The 18,620-nt window shown below is 40.0% G+C and overlaps 1 protein-coding gene across 7 annotated transcripts in view; it reads right to left on the bottom strand.

Moving 5' to 3' along the window:
- MYRIP (myosin VIIA and Rab interacting protein) overlaps positions 1-18,620 on the bottom strand; it is a 451,408-nt gene that overhangs the window by 101,697 nt on the left and 331,091 nt on the right. For 6 of the 7 annotated variants that reach the window (NR_104316.2, NM_001284423.2, NM_015460.4 and 3 more), the window contains one exon: positions 7,441-7,577. The exons of the other annotated variant lie outside the window; for it this stretch is intronic. Coding sequence is in view for 4 of the 6 variants with exons in the window: in NM_001284423.2 (NP_001271352.1) it covers positions 7,441-7,577 (137 nt within the window). In the remaining 2 variants the exon portion in view is untranslated. The remainder of the gene's footprint in view (positions 1-7,440; positions 7,578-18,620) is intronic. 7 annotated transcript variants of the gene reach the window in all.

The raw sequence follows: 18,620 nt of genomic DNA, 5'->3' as shown, positions 1-18,620 counted from the left end.
CCAAACAATAATAATGGGAGACTTTAACACCCCACTGTCAACATTAGACAGATCAACGAGACAGGAAGTCAACAAGGATACCCAGGAATTGAACTCAGCTCTGCACCAAGCACACCTAATAGACATCTACAGAACTCTCCACCCCAAATCAACAGAATATACATTTTTTTCAGCACCACACCACACCTATTCCAAAATTGACCACATACTTGGAAGTAAAGCTCTCCTCAGCAAATGTAAAAGAACAGAAATTATAACAAACAGTCTCTCAGACCACAGCGCAATCAAACTAGAACTCAGGATTAAGAATCTCACTCAAAACCGCTCAACTACATGGAAACTGAACAACCTGCTCCTGAATGACTACTGGGTACATAACGAAATAAAGGCAGAAATAAATATGTTCTTTGAAACCAACGAGAACAGAGACACAACATACCGGAATCTCTGGGACGCATTCAAAGCAGTGTGTAGAGGGAAATTTATAGCACTAAATGCCCACAAGAGAAAGCAGGAAAGATCCAAAATGGACACCCTAACATCACAATTAAAAGAACTAGAAAAGCAAGAGCAAACACATTCAAAAGCTAGCAGAAGGCAAGAAATAACTAAGATCAGAGCAGAACTGAAGGAAATAGAGACACAAAAAACCCTTCAAAAAATAAATGAATCCAGGAGCTGGTTTTTTGAAAGGATCAACAAAACTGATAAATCGCTAGCAAGACTAATAAAGAAAAAGAGAGAGAAGAATCAAATAGACGCAATAAAAAATGATAAAGGGGATATCACCACCGATCCCACAGAAATACAAACTACCATCAGAGAATACTACAAACACCTCTACGCAAATAAACTAGAAAATCTAGAAGAAATGGATAAATTCCTCGACAAATACACTCTCCCAAGACTAAACCAGGAAGAAGTTGAATCTCTGAATAGACCAATAACAGGATCTGAAATTGTGGCAATAATCAATAGCTTACCAACCAAAAAGAGTCCAGGACCAGATGGATTCACAGCCAAATTCTACCAGAGGTACAAGGAGGAACTGGTACCATTCCTTCTGAAACTATTCCAATCAATAGAAAAAGAGGGAATCCTCCCTAACTCATTTTATGAGGCCAGCATCATCCTGATACCAAAGCCGGGCAGAGACGCAACCAAAAAAGAGAATTTTAGACCAATATCCTTGATGAACATTGATGCAAAAATCCTCAATAAAATACTGGCAAACCGAATCCAGCAGCACATCAAAAAGCTTATCCACCATGATCAAGTGGGCTTCATCCCTGGGATGCAAGGCTGGTTCAATATACGCAAATCAATAAATGTAATCCAGCATATAAACAGAACCAAAGACAAAAACCACATGATTATCTCAATAGATGCAGAAAAAGCCTTTGACAAAATTCAACAACGCTTCATGCTAAAAACTCTCAATAAATTAGGTATTGATGGGACGTATTTCAAAATAATAAGAGCTATCTATGACAAACCCACAGCCAATATCATACTGAATGGGCAAAAACTGGAAGCATTCCCTTTGAAAACTGGCACAAGACAGGGATGCCCTCTCTCACCACTCCTATTCAACATAGTGTTGGAAGTTCTGGCCAGAGCAATTAGCCAGGAGAAGGAAATAAAGGGTATTCAATTAGTAAAAGAGGAAGTCAAATTGTCCCTGTTTGCAGATGACATGATTGTATATCTAGAAAACCCCATTGTCTCAGCCCAAAATCTCCTTAAGCTGATAAGCAACTTCAGCAAAGTCTTCAGGATACAAAATCAATGTACAAAAATCACAAGCATTCTTATACACCAACAACAGACAAACAGAGAGCCAAATCATCAGTGAACTCCCATTCACAATTGCTTCAAAGAGAATAAAATACCTAGGAATCCAACTTACAAGGGATGTGAAGGACCTCTTCAAGGAGAACTACAAACCACTGCTCAAGGAAATAAAAGAGGATACAAACAAATGGAAGAACATTCCATGCTCATGGGTAGGAAGAATCAATATCGTGAAAATGGCCATACTGCCCAAGGTAATTTACAGATTCAATGCCATCCCCATCAAGCTACCAATTACTTTCTTCACAGAATTGGAAAAAACTACTTTAAAGTTCATATGGCACCAAAAAAGAGCCCACATCGCCAAGTCAATCCTAAGCCAAAAGAGCAAAGCTGGAGGCATCACACTACCTGACTTCAAACTATACTACAAGGCTACAGTAACCAAACAAGCATGGTACTGGTACCAAAACAGAAATATAGATCAATGGAACAGAACAGAGCCCTCAGAAATAATGCCGCATATCTACAACTATCTGATCTTTCACAAACCTGAGAAAAACAAGCAATAGGGAAAGGATTCCCTATTTAATAAATGGTGCTGGGAAAACTGGCTAGCCATATGTAGAAAGCTGAAACTGGATCCCTTCCTTACACCTTATACAAAAATTAATTCAAGATGGATTAAAGACTTAAATGTTAGACCTAAAACCATAAAAACCCTAGAAGAAAACCTAGGCAATACCATTCAGGACATAGGCATGGGCAAGGACTTCATGTCTAAAACACCAAAAGCAATGGCAACAAAAGACAAAATTGACAAATGGGATATAATTAAATGAAAGAGCTTCTGCACAGCAAAAGAAACTACCATCAGAGTGAACAGGCAACCTACAAAATGGGAGAAAATTTTTGCAACCTACTCATCTGACAAAGGGCTAATATCCAGAATCTACAATGAACTCAAACAAATTTACAAGAAAAAAACAAACAACCCCATCAAAAAGTGGTCAAAGGACATGAACAGACACTTCTCAAAAGAAGACATTTATGCAGCCAAAAAACACATGAAAAAATGCTCGCCATCACTGGCCATCAGAGAAATGCAAATCAAAACCACAGTGAGATACCATCTCACACCAGTTAGAATGGCAATCATTAAAAAGTCAGGAAACAACAGGTGCTGGAGAGGATGTGGAGAAATAGGAACACTTTTACACTGTTGGTGGGACTGTAAACTAGTTCAACCATTGTGGAAGTCAGTGTGGCAATTCCTCAGGGATCTAGAACTAGAAATACCATTTGACCCAGCCATCCCATTACTGGGTATATACCCAATGGACTATAAATCATGTTGCTATAAAGACACATGCACACGTATGTTTAGTGCGGCATTATTCACAATAGCAAAGACTTGGAACCAACCCAAATGTCCAACAATGATAGACTGGATTAAGAAAATGTGGCACATATACACCATGGAATACTATGCAGCCATAAAAAATGATGAGTTCATGTCCTTTGTAGGGACATGGATGAAATTGGAAATCATCATTCTCAGTAAACTATGGCAGGAACAAAAAACCAAACACCACATATTCTCACTCATAGGTGGGAATTGAACAATGAGAACACATGGACACAGGAAGGGGAACATCACACTCTGGGGACTGTTGTGGGGTGGGGGGAGGGTGGAGGGATAGCGTTAGGAGATATACCTAATGCTAGATGACGAGTTAGTGGGTGCAGCGCACCAGCATGGCACATGTATACATATGTAACTAACCTGCACATTGTGTACATGTACCCTAAAACTTAAAGTATAATAATAATAAAAAAATAATAAAAATAAAAACAAAATTAGATATAGAATGATAATAAAAGCAAGGTTTATTTTTCCCATTTATTTATCTAACACTAAATAAAGCATATATTATTTATCCAATTGTCTGAAGATTAAGTATATTAATAATGGCAACTTTTACCTTTTTCATGTAGTGCTTCTTTTAGGATAACTGTTAAAAATGTCATATTGTGTTCTCTGTTCTCATAAATGGCAGCTGAACAGTGACAACACATGGACACAGCAGGGGGAACAATGCATCCTGGGGCTTGTCAAGGCAGGGGGAGGGTGAACATCAGGATAAATAGCTAATACATGTGGGGCTTATACCTAGGTGATGGGTTGATAGGTGCAGAAAACCACCATGGCACACATTTACTTATGTAACAAACCTGCACGTCCTGCAGATGTATCCCAGAACTTAAAATAAAATTAAATTTAAAAAAAAGTCATGCTGGGTCTATTAGAGAAGCCATGTGAGCACTCGTTACCTTTGGACATTATTTTATTTATAAATGTACTTACTTATCTGACTTCTCCACTAGAGTTTTGGCTCTGAAATGGCAGGGTCTTGCTCATTTCATCACCCCCAACTCTTAAGCCAGATGGGCACATAGTAGGTGTTCAGTAAATATTTACTGAATAAATGAATACATCTTAGATTTGTCTGATAAAACAAGTTTTCTTTTAGGCCTAATCTGGTCAGCTGCTGTGAGCTGCAGGAGAAGGAGAAAGGTTCGCTTGGGAGCACTGCTGAGGAACTGATGGCAGTACGAGGTGTGTATGTGATGGGTGATACGTGAGACTGTGTGAATTGAAGGAATCTTCAATGAATTTTTTTTTTTTTTTGAGACGGAATCTCACTCTATTGCCAGGCTGGAGTGCAGTGGTGCAATCTCGGCTCACTGCAACCTCCGCCTCCCAGGTTCAAGCGATTCCTCTGCCTCAGCCTCCCAAGTAGCTGGGAGTACAGGTGAGTGCCACCATGCCCAGCTAATTTTTTGTATTTTAGTAGAGATGGGGTTTCACCATGTTGGCCAGGATATTCTCGATCTCCTGACCTTGTGATCTGCCTGCCTCAGCCTCCGAAAGTGCTGGGATTACAGGCGAGAGCCACTGTGCCCGGCCTGAATTGAGTGTTTTTATGGCAAACTACAGTGATCCGCATAGTGAAGACGTTCTGTAGGTGAAAGGAGTTTTACACTGAGAGTCCTGGAGCATAGCACATGCCTTGTGCACTGCAGATTTTGCATATCATGTTCTGACAATCAACATTCTGAAAATAAGTACCATTAGATAGAGCTGGAAGAACACTGCTGAACTAATTACTCTGAGTTCTAGCTGAGGACCTTGTTCTCAGTCTTGGCTGTACCTTGGAATAATACAGGCAGCTTTTAAAAATATGTATACTGGATCCCACCTCCAAAAATTCAGCAGTAATTAATGGGGGGTGGACAATGATTTGGGGTATTGGAAGGTTTTTTTTCAAAGCGCCCTTGGCGATTCTAATGTGTAGTCATGAATTGAGGATGGCAGATGACAAACCTACAAAGGGTATTGGGTGACAGGCAAAAGCTAATGAAGGACTCTTGAGTCTTCTCACACAACCAGGAGGCTACTTAGGCCCTGGAAGATTTCTCTATACTTGAAGTCTAACTAAATTTCCTGTGTAGCTTGTAGAATAGATCTCGTTGTTTTATGACCATGGCTTTATATGTTTGAGTACCATCTCATAAATTGTCTCCTGTCTGCTTGTCTTCATGTTTCTCCAAAAGAAATCTCGACTTAAATGGAGATACAAATAGTATTAAAGCAACTGATTCCCATATTTCTATGAAGTGTCTTGGTATCCATAAAATGCTTTTTTTTTGGACAGGGTCTTGCTCTGTCACCCAGGCTGGAGTGCAGTGGCACAATCATGGCTCACTGCAGCCTCAACCTCCTGGGCTCAAGTGATCTTCCCACCTCAGTCTCCCAAGTAGCTCAAAGGACAGGTGCATGCCACCACATCTGACTAATTTTTTTTTTTTTTTGGTAGAGACAGGATTGTGCTATGCTGCCCAGGCTGGTCTTGAACTCCTGGTCTCAAGTGACCCTCCTGACTCAGCCTCCCAAAGTATTGGGATTCCAAGCATAAGCCACCATGCCTGGCCCCACAAAATGCTTTTAAGGTTGAACTAGTACAATAATGAGGATATAAGATGTGCCAGGCCTTGAGCCACGCTTTGAGAACACAGATAAACAAGCTACCACCTGCATATCACAGTCTGGCAGGAGAGGCAGCTGTGTAATCCTGAATGCAATGTGATATGTGATAAGTGCTGTGACTGAGACTCAGATGAATAAAGTGGTGAATCACAGAGGGCCCAGCACCTAAAGCTGCTTCAATCAGGGCAGATATTTATTCTTAGCAAAGAATTCTCCTTTGAAAGTGATCCTTGTAAATTTCAAAGCCCTGCACTAGCCCACTTGGGATTCATGCCTGCTTTCTCCACTTGTGGAGACTTAGAGAGAAGGGGAAAGAAATAAAAATTCTGCTCTATTCTACAGGGTTTTCCACATGTTTTCTTTATTCCTCAATGTGCATTAAGTGGTAAAGAACACCTACGAGATCTGAATTTGGTGACATTTAAAGGGGCATATTCAGCATACCCGAGGATGTACAAGAGAGGAAAAGAGGATGGGATGCAAATGAGTGAGCCGATTCTATTCATAAACCTTCTTGAGATATCTCTCTGGGCTGTAAAACTGCTAACAGTATGACTTTGAAGCTTTATTTCTTCTTTGCCTCCATTCCTACAGAGTATTTAGAGAAATTGTTGAAATGGTGATAAACATAATATGTGGAAACCTTCGGCACTGCTCTCTTAGCTATAGCTTTCCTGAGCAGTTTGAAAGACAGAAATTCTAATAATGACAACAAAAGACCCTAATGATTCTCCATGTTTAGTGCCTCCATTCTATTTTCCCCGTTGTCTAAGTGGCTGACATATTTTTAGATAAGATACAACCAAAGACTTTATTGAGAAAACAACAATGTAAAATAATGATGGTGAAAAAACTCCAAATAAGATGAATGAGGTTTTTTCTTCTTCCTTGTTTCTCATGGATAAAAAGCATTTACCTGTGTTAGCCAAGTGATGAAAAAAAAATCTGCCACCAGATAGAAAGAAACAGCCTTTTTGGAAGGCATGCTGTCCATATTCTGACTACCATTCTTTTCTACTGGCTGATCTAATAGGACTAAAGAATATAATTTCCCATTCCAAGTAGCTTGGTTATCTTAACTGTATAAAAACAGCATAGGTAAAATTCATCCTTCAAGTTTCCTGGGAGGAAGCTGACACTTTTCTAACTCTCCCACTACATCACCTTCTGGGCCATAAGAACAGAAGTTTGGAGTAAGAAGAAAGGAAGGTAGAAGGCATGCCCTCCAGGGACAGATGTACTCTCTCTGTAGCCAAGGGCAAATGACTTTCCAACGTTTTAATCATTAAGGGATGATGATCAAGAATACCTAATTTTTGATCTGAGATTAAAATAATCACAATTTGTAGAAGTACTTGGTCTTCATAGCTTCTAACTTATAAGCTCTAGCCCAGTGGGGACGCTGGAACCAAAAGAGTCACAACTTAGCAGAATCTCTGGCATCCGTCCTTCTATTTCTGCTTCTCACTGGTGCCAGATATTTAAGCAAATTTATCTGTCCCAGGTGAGTGTGCTCCAGTGTTCAGGGCCCCTGAGCCAGGCCTTCTACCCACCAGCCCACCAAAGACTCCCAGAGCGGCAGGAAGTGAGAGTACCTAGAATGTCGAAGCACGCGCCACTCTCCAGCCGGTGCTTCCTGTACAGGTTCTTCAGAACCTTGGCACTGCCAAAGCGCTTGAAGCGGCTCTTCACATTATTGTAGAACCATTCCAGAGATTGGGCCCTCAGAAGCCTGAGGAAAACAGAATTAGACAACACAAAATTAGAATTATTAAATGGTGAATTGCAAAACTGCTGCAATGCTTCACAGCTCCATCCATCAAGATGTGAAGTTTATTCCCCTTGAATCTGGGCGGGCCTTGTGACTTTCTCTGACCATAGAAAATAGTGAAAGTGATGTTGTGTGAATCCTGAGCCCTGCAGTTTCCTCTGTTGCTGCTCTTGGGAATCCCACAACCTTTATCACGTGAGTAAGCCCAAGCTAGCCTGTTGTGTGATGAGAGACACTTGGCCCAATCATCCCTCTTGCCCCAGCCAATAGCCGGCCAACTCCCAGATAGGTGAAAGAAGCCATCGGCCACTAGTTTGACTGGAGACACATGAGTGAACTTAGATGCGACCAGGAGAACCATCCACTGAGTCACTCCAAAGAGCAAGCCAATAAATGCTTGACATTTTAAACCATGAAGTTTCAGGGCATTTAATAGTAGGCTTTATATTTAATATTCTTACTGTATTAACAACATTTCTAATTCATCTTGGAAAAATAAAAAGCACAAGGAAGATAGCAAAATTCTCCAGCCTCTTCCTCATTCAGATTGAAGCACTCTGGGAAAGTAGTTTCCTGGTTAATGCTATAATGGTTGGTACAAAACATTGGCAAGATTCAGGCTGGGTGCTGTGGCTCATGCCTGTAATCCCAGCACTTTGGAAGGCCGAGGCAGGTGGATCACTTGAGGTCAGGAGTTTGAGACCAGCCTGGCCAACATGGCAAAACCCCATCTCTACTGAAAATACAAAAACTAGCTGGGTGTGGTGGCGCATGCCTGTAATCCCAGCTACTCGGGAGGCTGAGGCAGGAGAATCGCTTGAACCTAGTAGGTGGAGGCTGCAGTGAGCCAAGACAGCACCACAGCACCACTGCCCTCCAGCCTGGGCGACAGAGTGAGATTCCATCTAAAAATAAATAAAAAAAAAAAGAAAGACAAGATTCTTCTCTTTTATGCCTGACGAGAACAAATTTCTAAAGCCTTTCTATTTTGAAAACAGCTGCTTTTCTTATTTTTCTTATTATAAATGTAATAATACACACTCATTCTAGAAAATTCAGAAAACCAACAAGAATATAAAGGCTTCCAATTCAATGGAAGAACAATCCCACATTTAGTTGCTCTTCTTTTCCAGACCCCAGTGAAATGTGAGAAGATATCCAAAGGTAAAAAACAATCTATACAAGGAAGGAATGGGGGTGAGAGCAAAATCAGAGATTTTGGCAATGATAGCATAAAGGTAACAAAGAACCATGTACTTCAGAACAGATGGAAGAGCTTGGACTCTAACTGGAAGGCCCAATTTTGAGTTGGTTGATTCAGAGAGCAGGTTTGGATTATGACAGTACTCAGAAAGGTAATTTAATGGTTGTGTAGACAATAATGAGGCCTCTTGGTCCCCCATCCCTACACCCTAACAAATGAGCAATTGGTCTGAGGATGATTGGTCTTAGGCCCAAAAGATAAAGTGGTTCTCTATTGAAGTTGAACAATCTACTTCAGATTTAAGACTTCAGTATGGAGATTAACACCATACAGTGAAGCTGATATAGTTTGGATATTTGTCCCAATTGCAAATCTCATGTTAAAATGTGATCCCCAATGCTAGAGGTGGGCCTGGTGGAAGGTGTTTGGGCTTTGAAGGCATATCCCTCATGAATGGCTTGGTGTCCTTCCTGTGGTAATGAGTTCTCACTCTATTAGTTCACTCAAGAGCTGGTTGTTGAAAAGAGTGTGACAACATTCCCTCTCTCTTGCTCCCTCTCTCACCATGTGACACACAGGCTCCCTTGCATTCTGCTATAAGTAAAAGGTTCCTGAGGTTTTTACCAGAAGCAGATGCTGGCACCTTCTTGTAATGGTAGAACCATGAGCCAAACAAACCTCTTTTCTTTATAAATTACCCTGCCCCAAGTATTCCTTCCTAGCAACACAAATGGACTAATACGGAAGAAGCTTATCTTGTTTGGCATTGGGGGAGTCCCTACATGCCTGCCCATCAGATATCATACACGTACACCAAGGCAAAGCCTGTCAATTGCCTGCCTAACTCACAAACTTGGAGCTCTCAGTAAGCACCTCCACCTTTCAGCCCTAAACTCCTTTCAAAAGAGAGGTCTATTGGGAATATTTATCTACCCAATGGCAGAGGAGGCCCATGTTGGTTACCTTTATTCACCAACTAAGTCCTTTGTTCAAAAATATGAATAGATGACAAGAAATCACCAGACATTTGCAACAATCCAATGGCATAAGAAGAAAGAAAAAAGAGTCAAGATAAACTAACAACAAGTAACAAAGGGCAAAGAAAGATAACTCAGGATATTGAAAGTAATTTAAACTCTAATTAATGTCCATAATGATTTGAAAAGATACTGCATCCATGCAACAGGCTAGGGTGATGTGAAATATATGTAGAAGATAAGCAACAACTTATTGGAAATAGAAAACAGGATCAATAAAAAATTTAATAGAAGACCTAAAAGTTAAAATCAACATACATTTTCTGGAATGTACAATAAGAAGGCAAAAATATGGAATATATGAGAGAAAAGAGACATGGGGGATCAATTCAGGAGGTCTAGCATCTAACAGAATTCCAAAAAGGAAGAAAAGAGAAAATGAAAGAGGGGAAAAAATCAAAGACATAACAGAAGAAAATTTCCCCAAGCTAAGAAAGGGAAAAGTCTTTAGGTTAAGACGGCCTACCAATTGCCTAAACAACAAATGGAACATAAAACAAAATAAAGCAGACAAACCTACCTTGCTACATCTTCATGAAAATTCAGATCCTCAAAGATAAGGAGAACTTAGTGGCTTCACACAGAAAAAAATAATACTTTGCAAAAGGATAAAAATAATGATGCTAAAATTTGTAATCAATAACAATGAATGCTAGAAGACAGTAGAGCATAGATTTTCTAAGAATAAATGGCATGAAGTTAGACTTCTATGTTCAGCCAAACCATCATCACAAGAGGGCAAAATAAAGACATTTTCAGACATGTAAGATTGCTTTCTGGAAAAGAGAATTCTCAAGGTGTATGCCAGGAGAACTAAAAGCCATCCAAGAAAGAGGATCTTGGGACTCTAAAAAGAAGGAAACTGTCCCAGGAGTACAATGAAGAGAAGTCCCAGGATTTGATGCAGCAGATCTGGAAGGTAGGCAGCCCAAATGGGGCATTCAATAAGTATATAATTAAGAATCTACATGTATGAAGAGAAATGGTGAAGAAGGAGCCACGTCTTTGTTCTGTCAACAAGAATAAGGAAAGGCTATTAGAAGCTTTCAGAAAATCAAAACCAAAACCAAAAACAGCTCAAGAAAATATGGTCTAACTATGAAGCAAATGAAAAGTTGTATGATTTTGTAAACTAACTGAGTAGAAGAAGAAAGATGATGACCCATTTTTCAAGTAGCCCAAGTGTTATAGCCAAGAATAACAGTTTTTTTTCTCTCCATGAATTTCAAGTCATGACTTTGGTCTCTAGAAGATAATATTTATATAATTTAGAAACTACTTAATTTTCACCCTATTTATAGACAAAGTATAAAATGATCACACGGTCAAGACATGTGCATTTGTTATTGAAAGAAAAATTAAAAATCATTGATAGCCTGATAGAAGTCTGGATATAAAGAGAAGGAGGAATGATGAGGGTAGTTCAGAGATGCTAATTTCCCCATCTTGCAGAATGGAGTCAAAATCTTACAGAATGCAGTCAAGACAGACTGTGTAAGGTATATATACCAAAGATAATGGTTTCAATATGCTAGTTAAAGTCATAGAGGTCGCCAGCATATAATAAAAGTTTTAATAAAACTTCCAAGGAGAAGGTAAGGAGATAGGAAAAAAGTGAACTATTCATTAAAGTCTAAAGTTGACTAATCAATAAGTGGCAAGATAAACATATTATTTAGGATTATTATGGTAGCCCCCAGAAATGTTTAAATGTGATTCCCTGGGGGACTGGGACTTGGCAAGGAGTTGGGGATCTGAAATCCTTTTAATATCTTTTACTGTCTGAATTTATTTTAACCAAGTACATGTATTATTATAAAAACTGAAATAAAAACAGGCAAAAGAAGATTCAGAAAACTACCCAAAGTTCTACTACTGGAACCTGACATTAGATGAGTGTTCTTTCAGACTTCCATGCAAGGTGGTTTGTAATCAGCCTACACAGAGATTGGGAGGGGTCCTGGAACTTGTGGTGGGGTGTGTGTGTGTGCATACGTGCATGCAAATGTGCATGTGCTCATGTGTATGTGTGTGCATGCATGTGTGTGTGCATTTGTGTGTGTGTATTCATGCAGGCACACAGAGAAGGCAGGGACCGAGAGGTCAGTCTAAAGCTGTTGGTGCTGAAGGGGCTCCAGGGCCAGAGCAGCAATGAGAGACCAAATTTTTCAACAGGGAGGATGAACTCCCTCTTCCCACAAGGTTTAGCAGACAGGGGCTGTGGGGCAGCAGCAGGGCAGCCAACTGGAGTGGCCAGGAAACAGTGATGGTGGCAGTGGGGAGGTGCCCCTTTTAAATTGTTACTGACTTCAATGAAGAGAAAAAGCCACAAATGGGTTTTCCTGAGCACATGTGTCTTTCAGTACATACAATGTTCACACTGTCTTTTAACAAACACGCTCACACTGGCTTTGATCTTGCTGTTCCCTCTGCCTATAAAACAGTTCCCCACAGATAGTCTCAGGCTCAATCCGACACTTCATTCAGGCCTTTGTGCAAATATCACTTCCCTTGGGAGGCCTTCCCTGACGATCCTTGCAAAAATGCCACTACCACGCCAACATGACAGTCCTCTTACTCTGATTTTTATTCCTTATATTTTTACAGAATACTTCTTTGTACCTGCTATTTAGTGATATATAATTCTCTATGATTAAGTAATTACAACAATAATCAGTATATCAACATATTGACAATTATTAATTTGTTTATCTATTTCCCCTCTTGAATAGAACATAGGCTCAAAGAAGACATTTTTTTCCCACTCCTATATCCCATGTGCCTAGACCACTAAAGTGCACCTAGTAGACACTTAATAAAATCCAGTACGTGATGGACAGACATTGTTTTATAACTTGTTTTTTCCACTTAGTATTCCTGATTGACTGTAATGTTGTTGAAGTCTTCTCCCATGACATCTTCAGTCACCTCAGAGTTCTCCATAGTATGGACACAGCAAGCTTTATGTAACTGATCTCCAATCTTTGGACCTTGAATCCTTCCCATTTCTTCTGCATTAAAAACGGTTCTGTGATGGATATGCTGCCAGCTAAACAATTTCACATATCCACAGTTGTGGATCCTAGACGTAAAGCAGCCAGGTTCAAAGATGTGACTTTTTCAGAAAGCTTGCACCAATTTACACTTCCCACCCATGGTGTGAGATTCTAAAGTCCCTCTCAAAGTGGCCTCACATTAAAGAGAAACCCCTGAAAGAGTCGCCAACTGGTCCATGGCAAAGCCTACTTCTGGTCCCAAATGCAGCTCAGGAAGGAGAATGAAAGGGCAGAAGGCAAACATTATCTTCTCCCCCTGGTTTGGTGGAAAAAATGAAATTGAGAGGTTTGTCTTCCTCATGGTGGGAGAAAAAGCACCTATCAAACACAATATACCGAATGTATAATTTCTTTCCCATAAAACTTCATCATAAAATCAGTATCACTATTATGAAAAAATGAGCACAATTTTTTGAGTGCTTACTCTGTCTGAGGTACTGTGCCAAAAGTTTTCCTTGCATTATCTTATTTAATTCTCACAGGGTACAGTGCAGTGGTAGGCACATGGGTACGGGTGCTGGTGGAAGTGGCCCAGACCCTGGCATTTACTACAAGTGTGGTCTTGAGCACATTACTTAATCCCTCTAAGTCTCAGTTTCTTCATCTATAAGATGGGGATGATGACAATAACCAACTTATCAGGCTGTTTTGAAGATTAAATAATATAACATAAATAATAAGGCGCCTGGCATCAGAAGAGGGCTTGATAATTTCTTTTAATAGCTCTAAAATGATGAGTCCTCTCTTTCATAGATGCATAAATCAACATGCAGAAAGAGGGAGTTCCTTGCCCAAAGGAGCAAACTCGAGCAGAGATTAAAAACTGGGAGCTTGCAATCATGCACAAGTGCTATTCAGAGGCACCTAGCATGAATAGAGACTCTCTCTCTCCAATTTATTTTACTATAGAATTTTAATTTATTACAAGAAGCATCTGTCATTTTTATTTAAAAAACACTGATAAAGCTATTTTCAGAATTTAGAATAATATAACAGAAAATAAAGGAAATACAGAAAGCCTTGCTTCTAGAAATCACGCCCTCTGGGCTTATGATTTATTTGATATCTTTAAAAGCACAAAAGAAATGCAACTGCAGAAGAGAAATGTTCTCCAGGCTCCTCCTTCCACACACTGCCCTGCTCTCTGAGCAGCTGGTCACCAGAAAGGCTCAGCTCTGCAGCTGGAAGGGTCCACATGGTATCAGTGGAGGATAGTTGTTACTGTGCCCCTCATTCTTCTAAAAGGGACATTTCTTTTCCTTTTGGGACACTCCTCCCTCCCTCTCCAACTTAGTCTATGTGGTTCTGGAAGGCTGGATACCACTCCTGGCACTAGTGGTGGTGGTCTCATGACTCAGACCTGCCATTGGGGTTGAGCTGGGAGCTTCTACTGGAGATCTTGGTAATAGATGCCCCCTTTCTGCAGGGCTGGCTCCATGGCAGAATGAAAGCCTAGAGGTTCAAAAGCAGATCTGACAGTGGGGAGGGGCAGGATTCTGTTCATATACTTAGAACACCTGTATCTACTCAAGCCTGAAGGCAATCCCTGGACTTTACCATTATATGAGCCAACAAATTCTCTTGTTTGTTCAAGGCTTTTTGAGTTGAGTTTTTATTATTTGCAACCAAGAGTCCTAATATCATGTTCTAAGTTCTAGACAGACCGAGAAGACTTCAAGTGCATCATCGGATGAGTTCTCCATTCATTGCTTATACCAAAACTCTATAGCATTCCGAAATATTTTAATGAACTTAAAATAGAATGCTTCAGCTTACTCAAGTCTCAGAGTAGAATCAGGGCACCAGCCTGGGGCTGCAGGGAGGTGGAAGACTACAGCAAATCCGTGGGGAATGAGCTGTAAAACCACAGGTTGATTTGTAGAGCAGAAAACTTTTCCTTAAAAAGTAATGTGCTTTATGTCACACACAAAAATGATAAGATGTGTGAGATAGATATGTTAACTAGCTTGATTTAATTATTCCATAATGTATATATATCAAAATGTCACATTGTACCCCATAAATATACACAATTATTGTCAATTAAAAATAAAATTTTAAAAATAAATTTACTTTCTGCCAGGAAAAAGTAGTAATGTGTTTTCGATTATGATTTGACTTAGAGTTAACGCAGACAGCTTTTCTGGAAGCTCTTCCTTGGGGCTTCCAGGGAAGGCTCAGTCATGATTATCCTCATTTGATATTACTGATTTTATTGCGTTTATTTAAACTTATGACTCAGGGGAAACTCACAGGATGCATGTGGTTCATGGGGCAGAGGTGCGGGGAGAGGGCTGTGAGGACCCCAGCACCCCGGGTGGACTGGCTAAGTGTACTGCTCCCTGGTCCATGCTCAGGTGTCTGGTTTCCAACCAAACATGCACAACTGCAGGCAAGGCTAGATGAGAAGAACCTTTGTGTCGGCATCCTGCTGAAATAGAGGACAGGGTGGAATCCTGCGTCTGTGCATGGACTCATTTATTTGTTCATTCACTCATTCTTTCATTCTTTCACTATGTATTGAGGGCCCACTATGTGCCAGGCACTGTGTTAAACGTATAGGGGTGACAAAACAGACCAGGGCCCTATCCAACAGTGCAGCCAGACTAATCTGTTCAAAGAGTGCTAGATGAGTCAGGAGATGGAATGGAGAGCCAGGTCAAAGGCATCTTGGGCATGGCTGGACTGCCTGTGTCCCACAGGTCTTGGGTTCTGGATCATTCCCACAAATGTGTGAGAAACCGGAATCTACCTGCTTTCTGTCCCAGGCATTTTCTCTCATAATCAAACTGCAGCTTCTAAGCCTCAGTAGGTGTGTACGAGAGGTGGCTTAGGAAGAAAGAGAGATGCTCTCCTGGTGATGAGATTTATAGGGAAAAGCTTTCCAACTTGGAACTGTCCAGAGCTGTCCATGCTTGATTTCCCTGACTTATTTTTTAAAAGATTCCAAGTTGGTCAGACTCAGTAGCTCACACCTATAATCCCAGCAGTTTGGGAGGCTGAGACAGTCAGATTGCTTGAGCCTAGGAGTTCGAGACCAGACTGGGCAACATGGCAAAGCCCCATCTCTACAAAAAATACAAAAATCAGGCACAGTGGCACATGCCTGTAGTCCCAGCTACTCCAGAGGCTGAGGTGGGAGGATAGATTGAGCCCAGGAGGCAGAGGTTGCGAGGTGCCAAGATTGCACCACTGCTCTCCAGCCTGGGTGATGAAGCCAGATCCTATAAAAAAAAATTTCCAAGTTACCTCTGAAATCCCTGAGGATAATTACACAAAGATTCTTAGCTCTGTATACTTTCACAAATTTAAGCATGATAATCTCTTAAAATACCAAAGCTTTTGAAAAATCAACAGCAGGCCGGGTGCGGTGGCTTATGCCTGTAATCCCAGCACTTTGGGAGGCTGAGGCAGGCGGATCACTTGAGGTCGGGAGTTCGAGACCAGCCTGACCAACATGGTAAAACCCCGTCTCTACTAAAAAATACAAAAATGAGCCCGGCGTGGTGGCAGGCGCCTTAATCCTAGCTACTTGGGAGGCAGAGGCAGGAGAATCATTTGAACCTGGGAGGCAGAGGTTGCAATGAGCAGAGATCGAGCCATTGCACTCAAGCCTGGGGGACAAGAGCAAGACTTCTCTCAAAAAAAAAAAAAAAAAAAAAAATCAACAGCATACTACCCAGAGCAATCTATAGGTTCAATGCAATCCCTATCAAAATATCAGTGAAATTCTTCACTGAAATAGAAAGAAATTCCTAAGATTTGTATGGAACCACAAATTATCCCAAATAGCCAAAGCAATCCTGATCAAAAAGAACAAAGCTAGAGGCATTGTATTATCAGACTTCAAAATACACCACGAAGCTGTTGTAACCAAAACAGCATGGTACTGGCATAAAGACAGACACATAAACCAATAGAGCAGAGTAGAAAACCCCCAAATTAAGCCGCATATTTACAGCTAACTGATTTTTGATAAAGGTGCCAAGAACACTCACTGGAGAAAGGACAGTCTTTTCCACAAATGGGGCTGAGAAAACTGGATATCTATATACAGAATTATGAAACTAGACTTCCACCTCTCACCCTACACAAAAATCATCTCAAAAGGGATCAATGAACTAAACATGAGACCTAAAGTAATAAAAGTGTTAGAAGAAAACATAAGGGAAATACTTCTGGACATTGATCTGAAAAAGGATTTTATAAATAAGGCCTCAAAAGCACAGGCAACAAAAGCAAAAATAAACAAATGCAATTAAATTAACAGCTTCTGCACAACAAAGGAAACAACTGACAGAGTGAAAAGACAACCTACAGAATGGGAGAAAATATTGGCAGACTATTAATCGGACAATGAGCTAATATTCAGAATATACAAGGAACTGAAGCAACAGCAAAAAAACAAACAATCCAATTAAAAAATGGGAAAATGATCTGAAAAGACATTTTTTAAAAGAAGACATACAAATGACTGGATCTCATTCTTTTTTATGGCTGAACAATAGTACTCCATTGTAAATAAGTCAGGCACAGAAAGACAAATGTTGCATGTTCTCACTTATTTGTGGGACCTAAAAATCAAAACAGTTGAATTCATGGAGATAGAGTGTAGAAGGATGGTTACCAGAGGCTAGGAAGGAAGAGTAGTGGGAGGTGGAGAGGGAGATGAAGATGGTTAATGGGTACAAAAAAATCGTTAGAATGGATAAGACCCAGTATTTGATAGCACAACAGGGTGACTATAGTCAATAATAATTTAATTGTATATTTTAAGATAATTAAAATCATAAAATTAGATTGTAAGTCTAATTTTGAGGATAAATGCTTAAGGGGATGGATCTCCATTTTTCATGACATGATTATTATGCACTGCCTGCCTGTGTCAAAATATCTCATGTACTCCATAAATATATACACCTATTATATACCCACAAAAAATTTTAAAAAAGACATACACACATGGCCAACGAATATGTGAAAAAATGTTCAAATTACTAATCATTAGAGAAATGCAAATCAAGACCACAATAAGGTATTATCTCACCCCAATTAGCATGTCTATTATCAAAAAAACAAAAAAATAGCAAATGCTGATGAGGATGCAGAGAAAAGGGAACTCTCACACACTGTTGGTGGGAATGTAATTAGTAGAGCCACTATGGAGAACAGTGTGGAGGTCCCTCACCAAACTACAAATAGAACTATCATGTGATTCAGAAATCCCACTACTGGGAATTTATCCAAATGAAAGGAAATCATTATACCGAAGAGACATCTGCACCCCCATGTTTATTGCAGCAGTATTCACAGCAGCCAAGATATGGAATTAACCTAGGTGTCCAACAACAGATGAAGGGATAAAAGATGTGGTATATACAAGAATGGCTAATATTAAAAAGACTGACAATACACAGTGCTGGTAATGATGTGGAGCAACTGGATCTCTCGTATGTTGCTAGTAAAAACAGTTTGGTGAATCCTTACAAAGTTAAATATATACTGGTTACTATACAGTACAGTAATTCCATTGTCAGGTATAAAACTCAACAGAAATGATATGTCTACACAAAGACTTGTACATGAGGCATAGAGATCCACTATCTTGTCTCACCACTGCCCAAGACACAGACATGGCTTCTGTTTGCAAGTCCCTATGAAATATTTCTTTTTAAGAAAAATAAAAAGATGGCACAAGAAAACTTAC

The sequence above is a fragment of the Homo sapiens genome, chromosome 3 (assembly GCF_000001405.40).
Source record: "Homo sapiens chromosome 3, GRCh38.p14 Primary Assembly".
Taxonomy (NCBI): Eukaryota; Metazoa; Chordata; class Mammalia; order Primates; family Hominidae; genus Homo; species Homo sapiens.
This window is presented reverse-complemented; position numbering and strand designations above follow the sequence as displayed.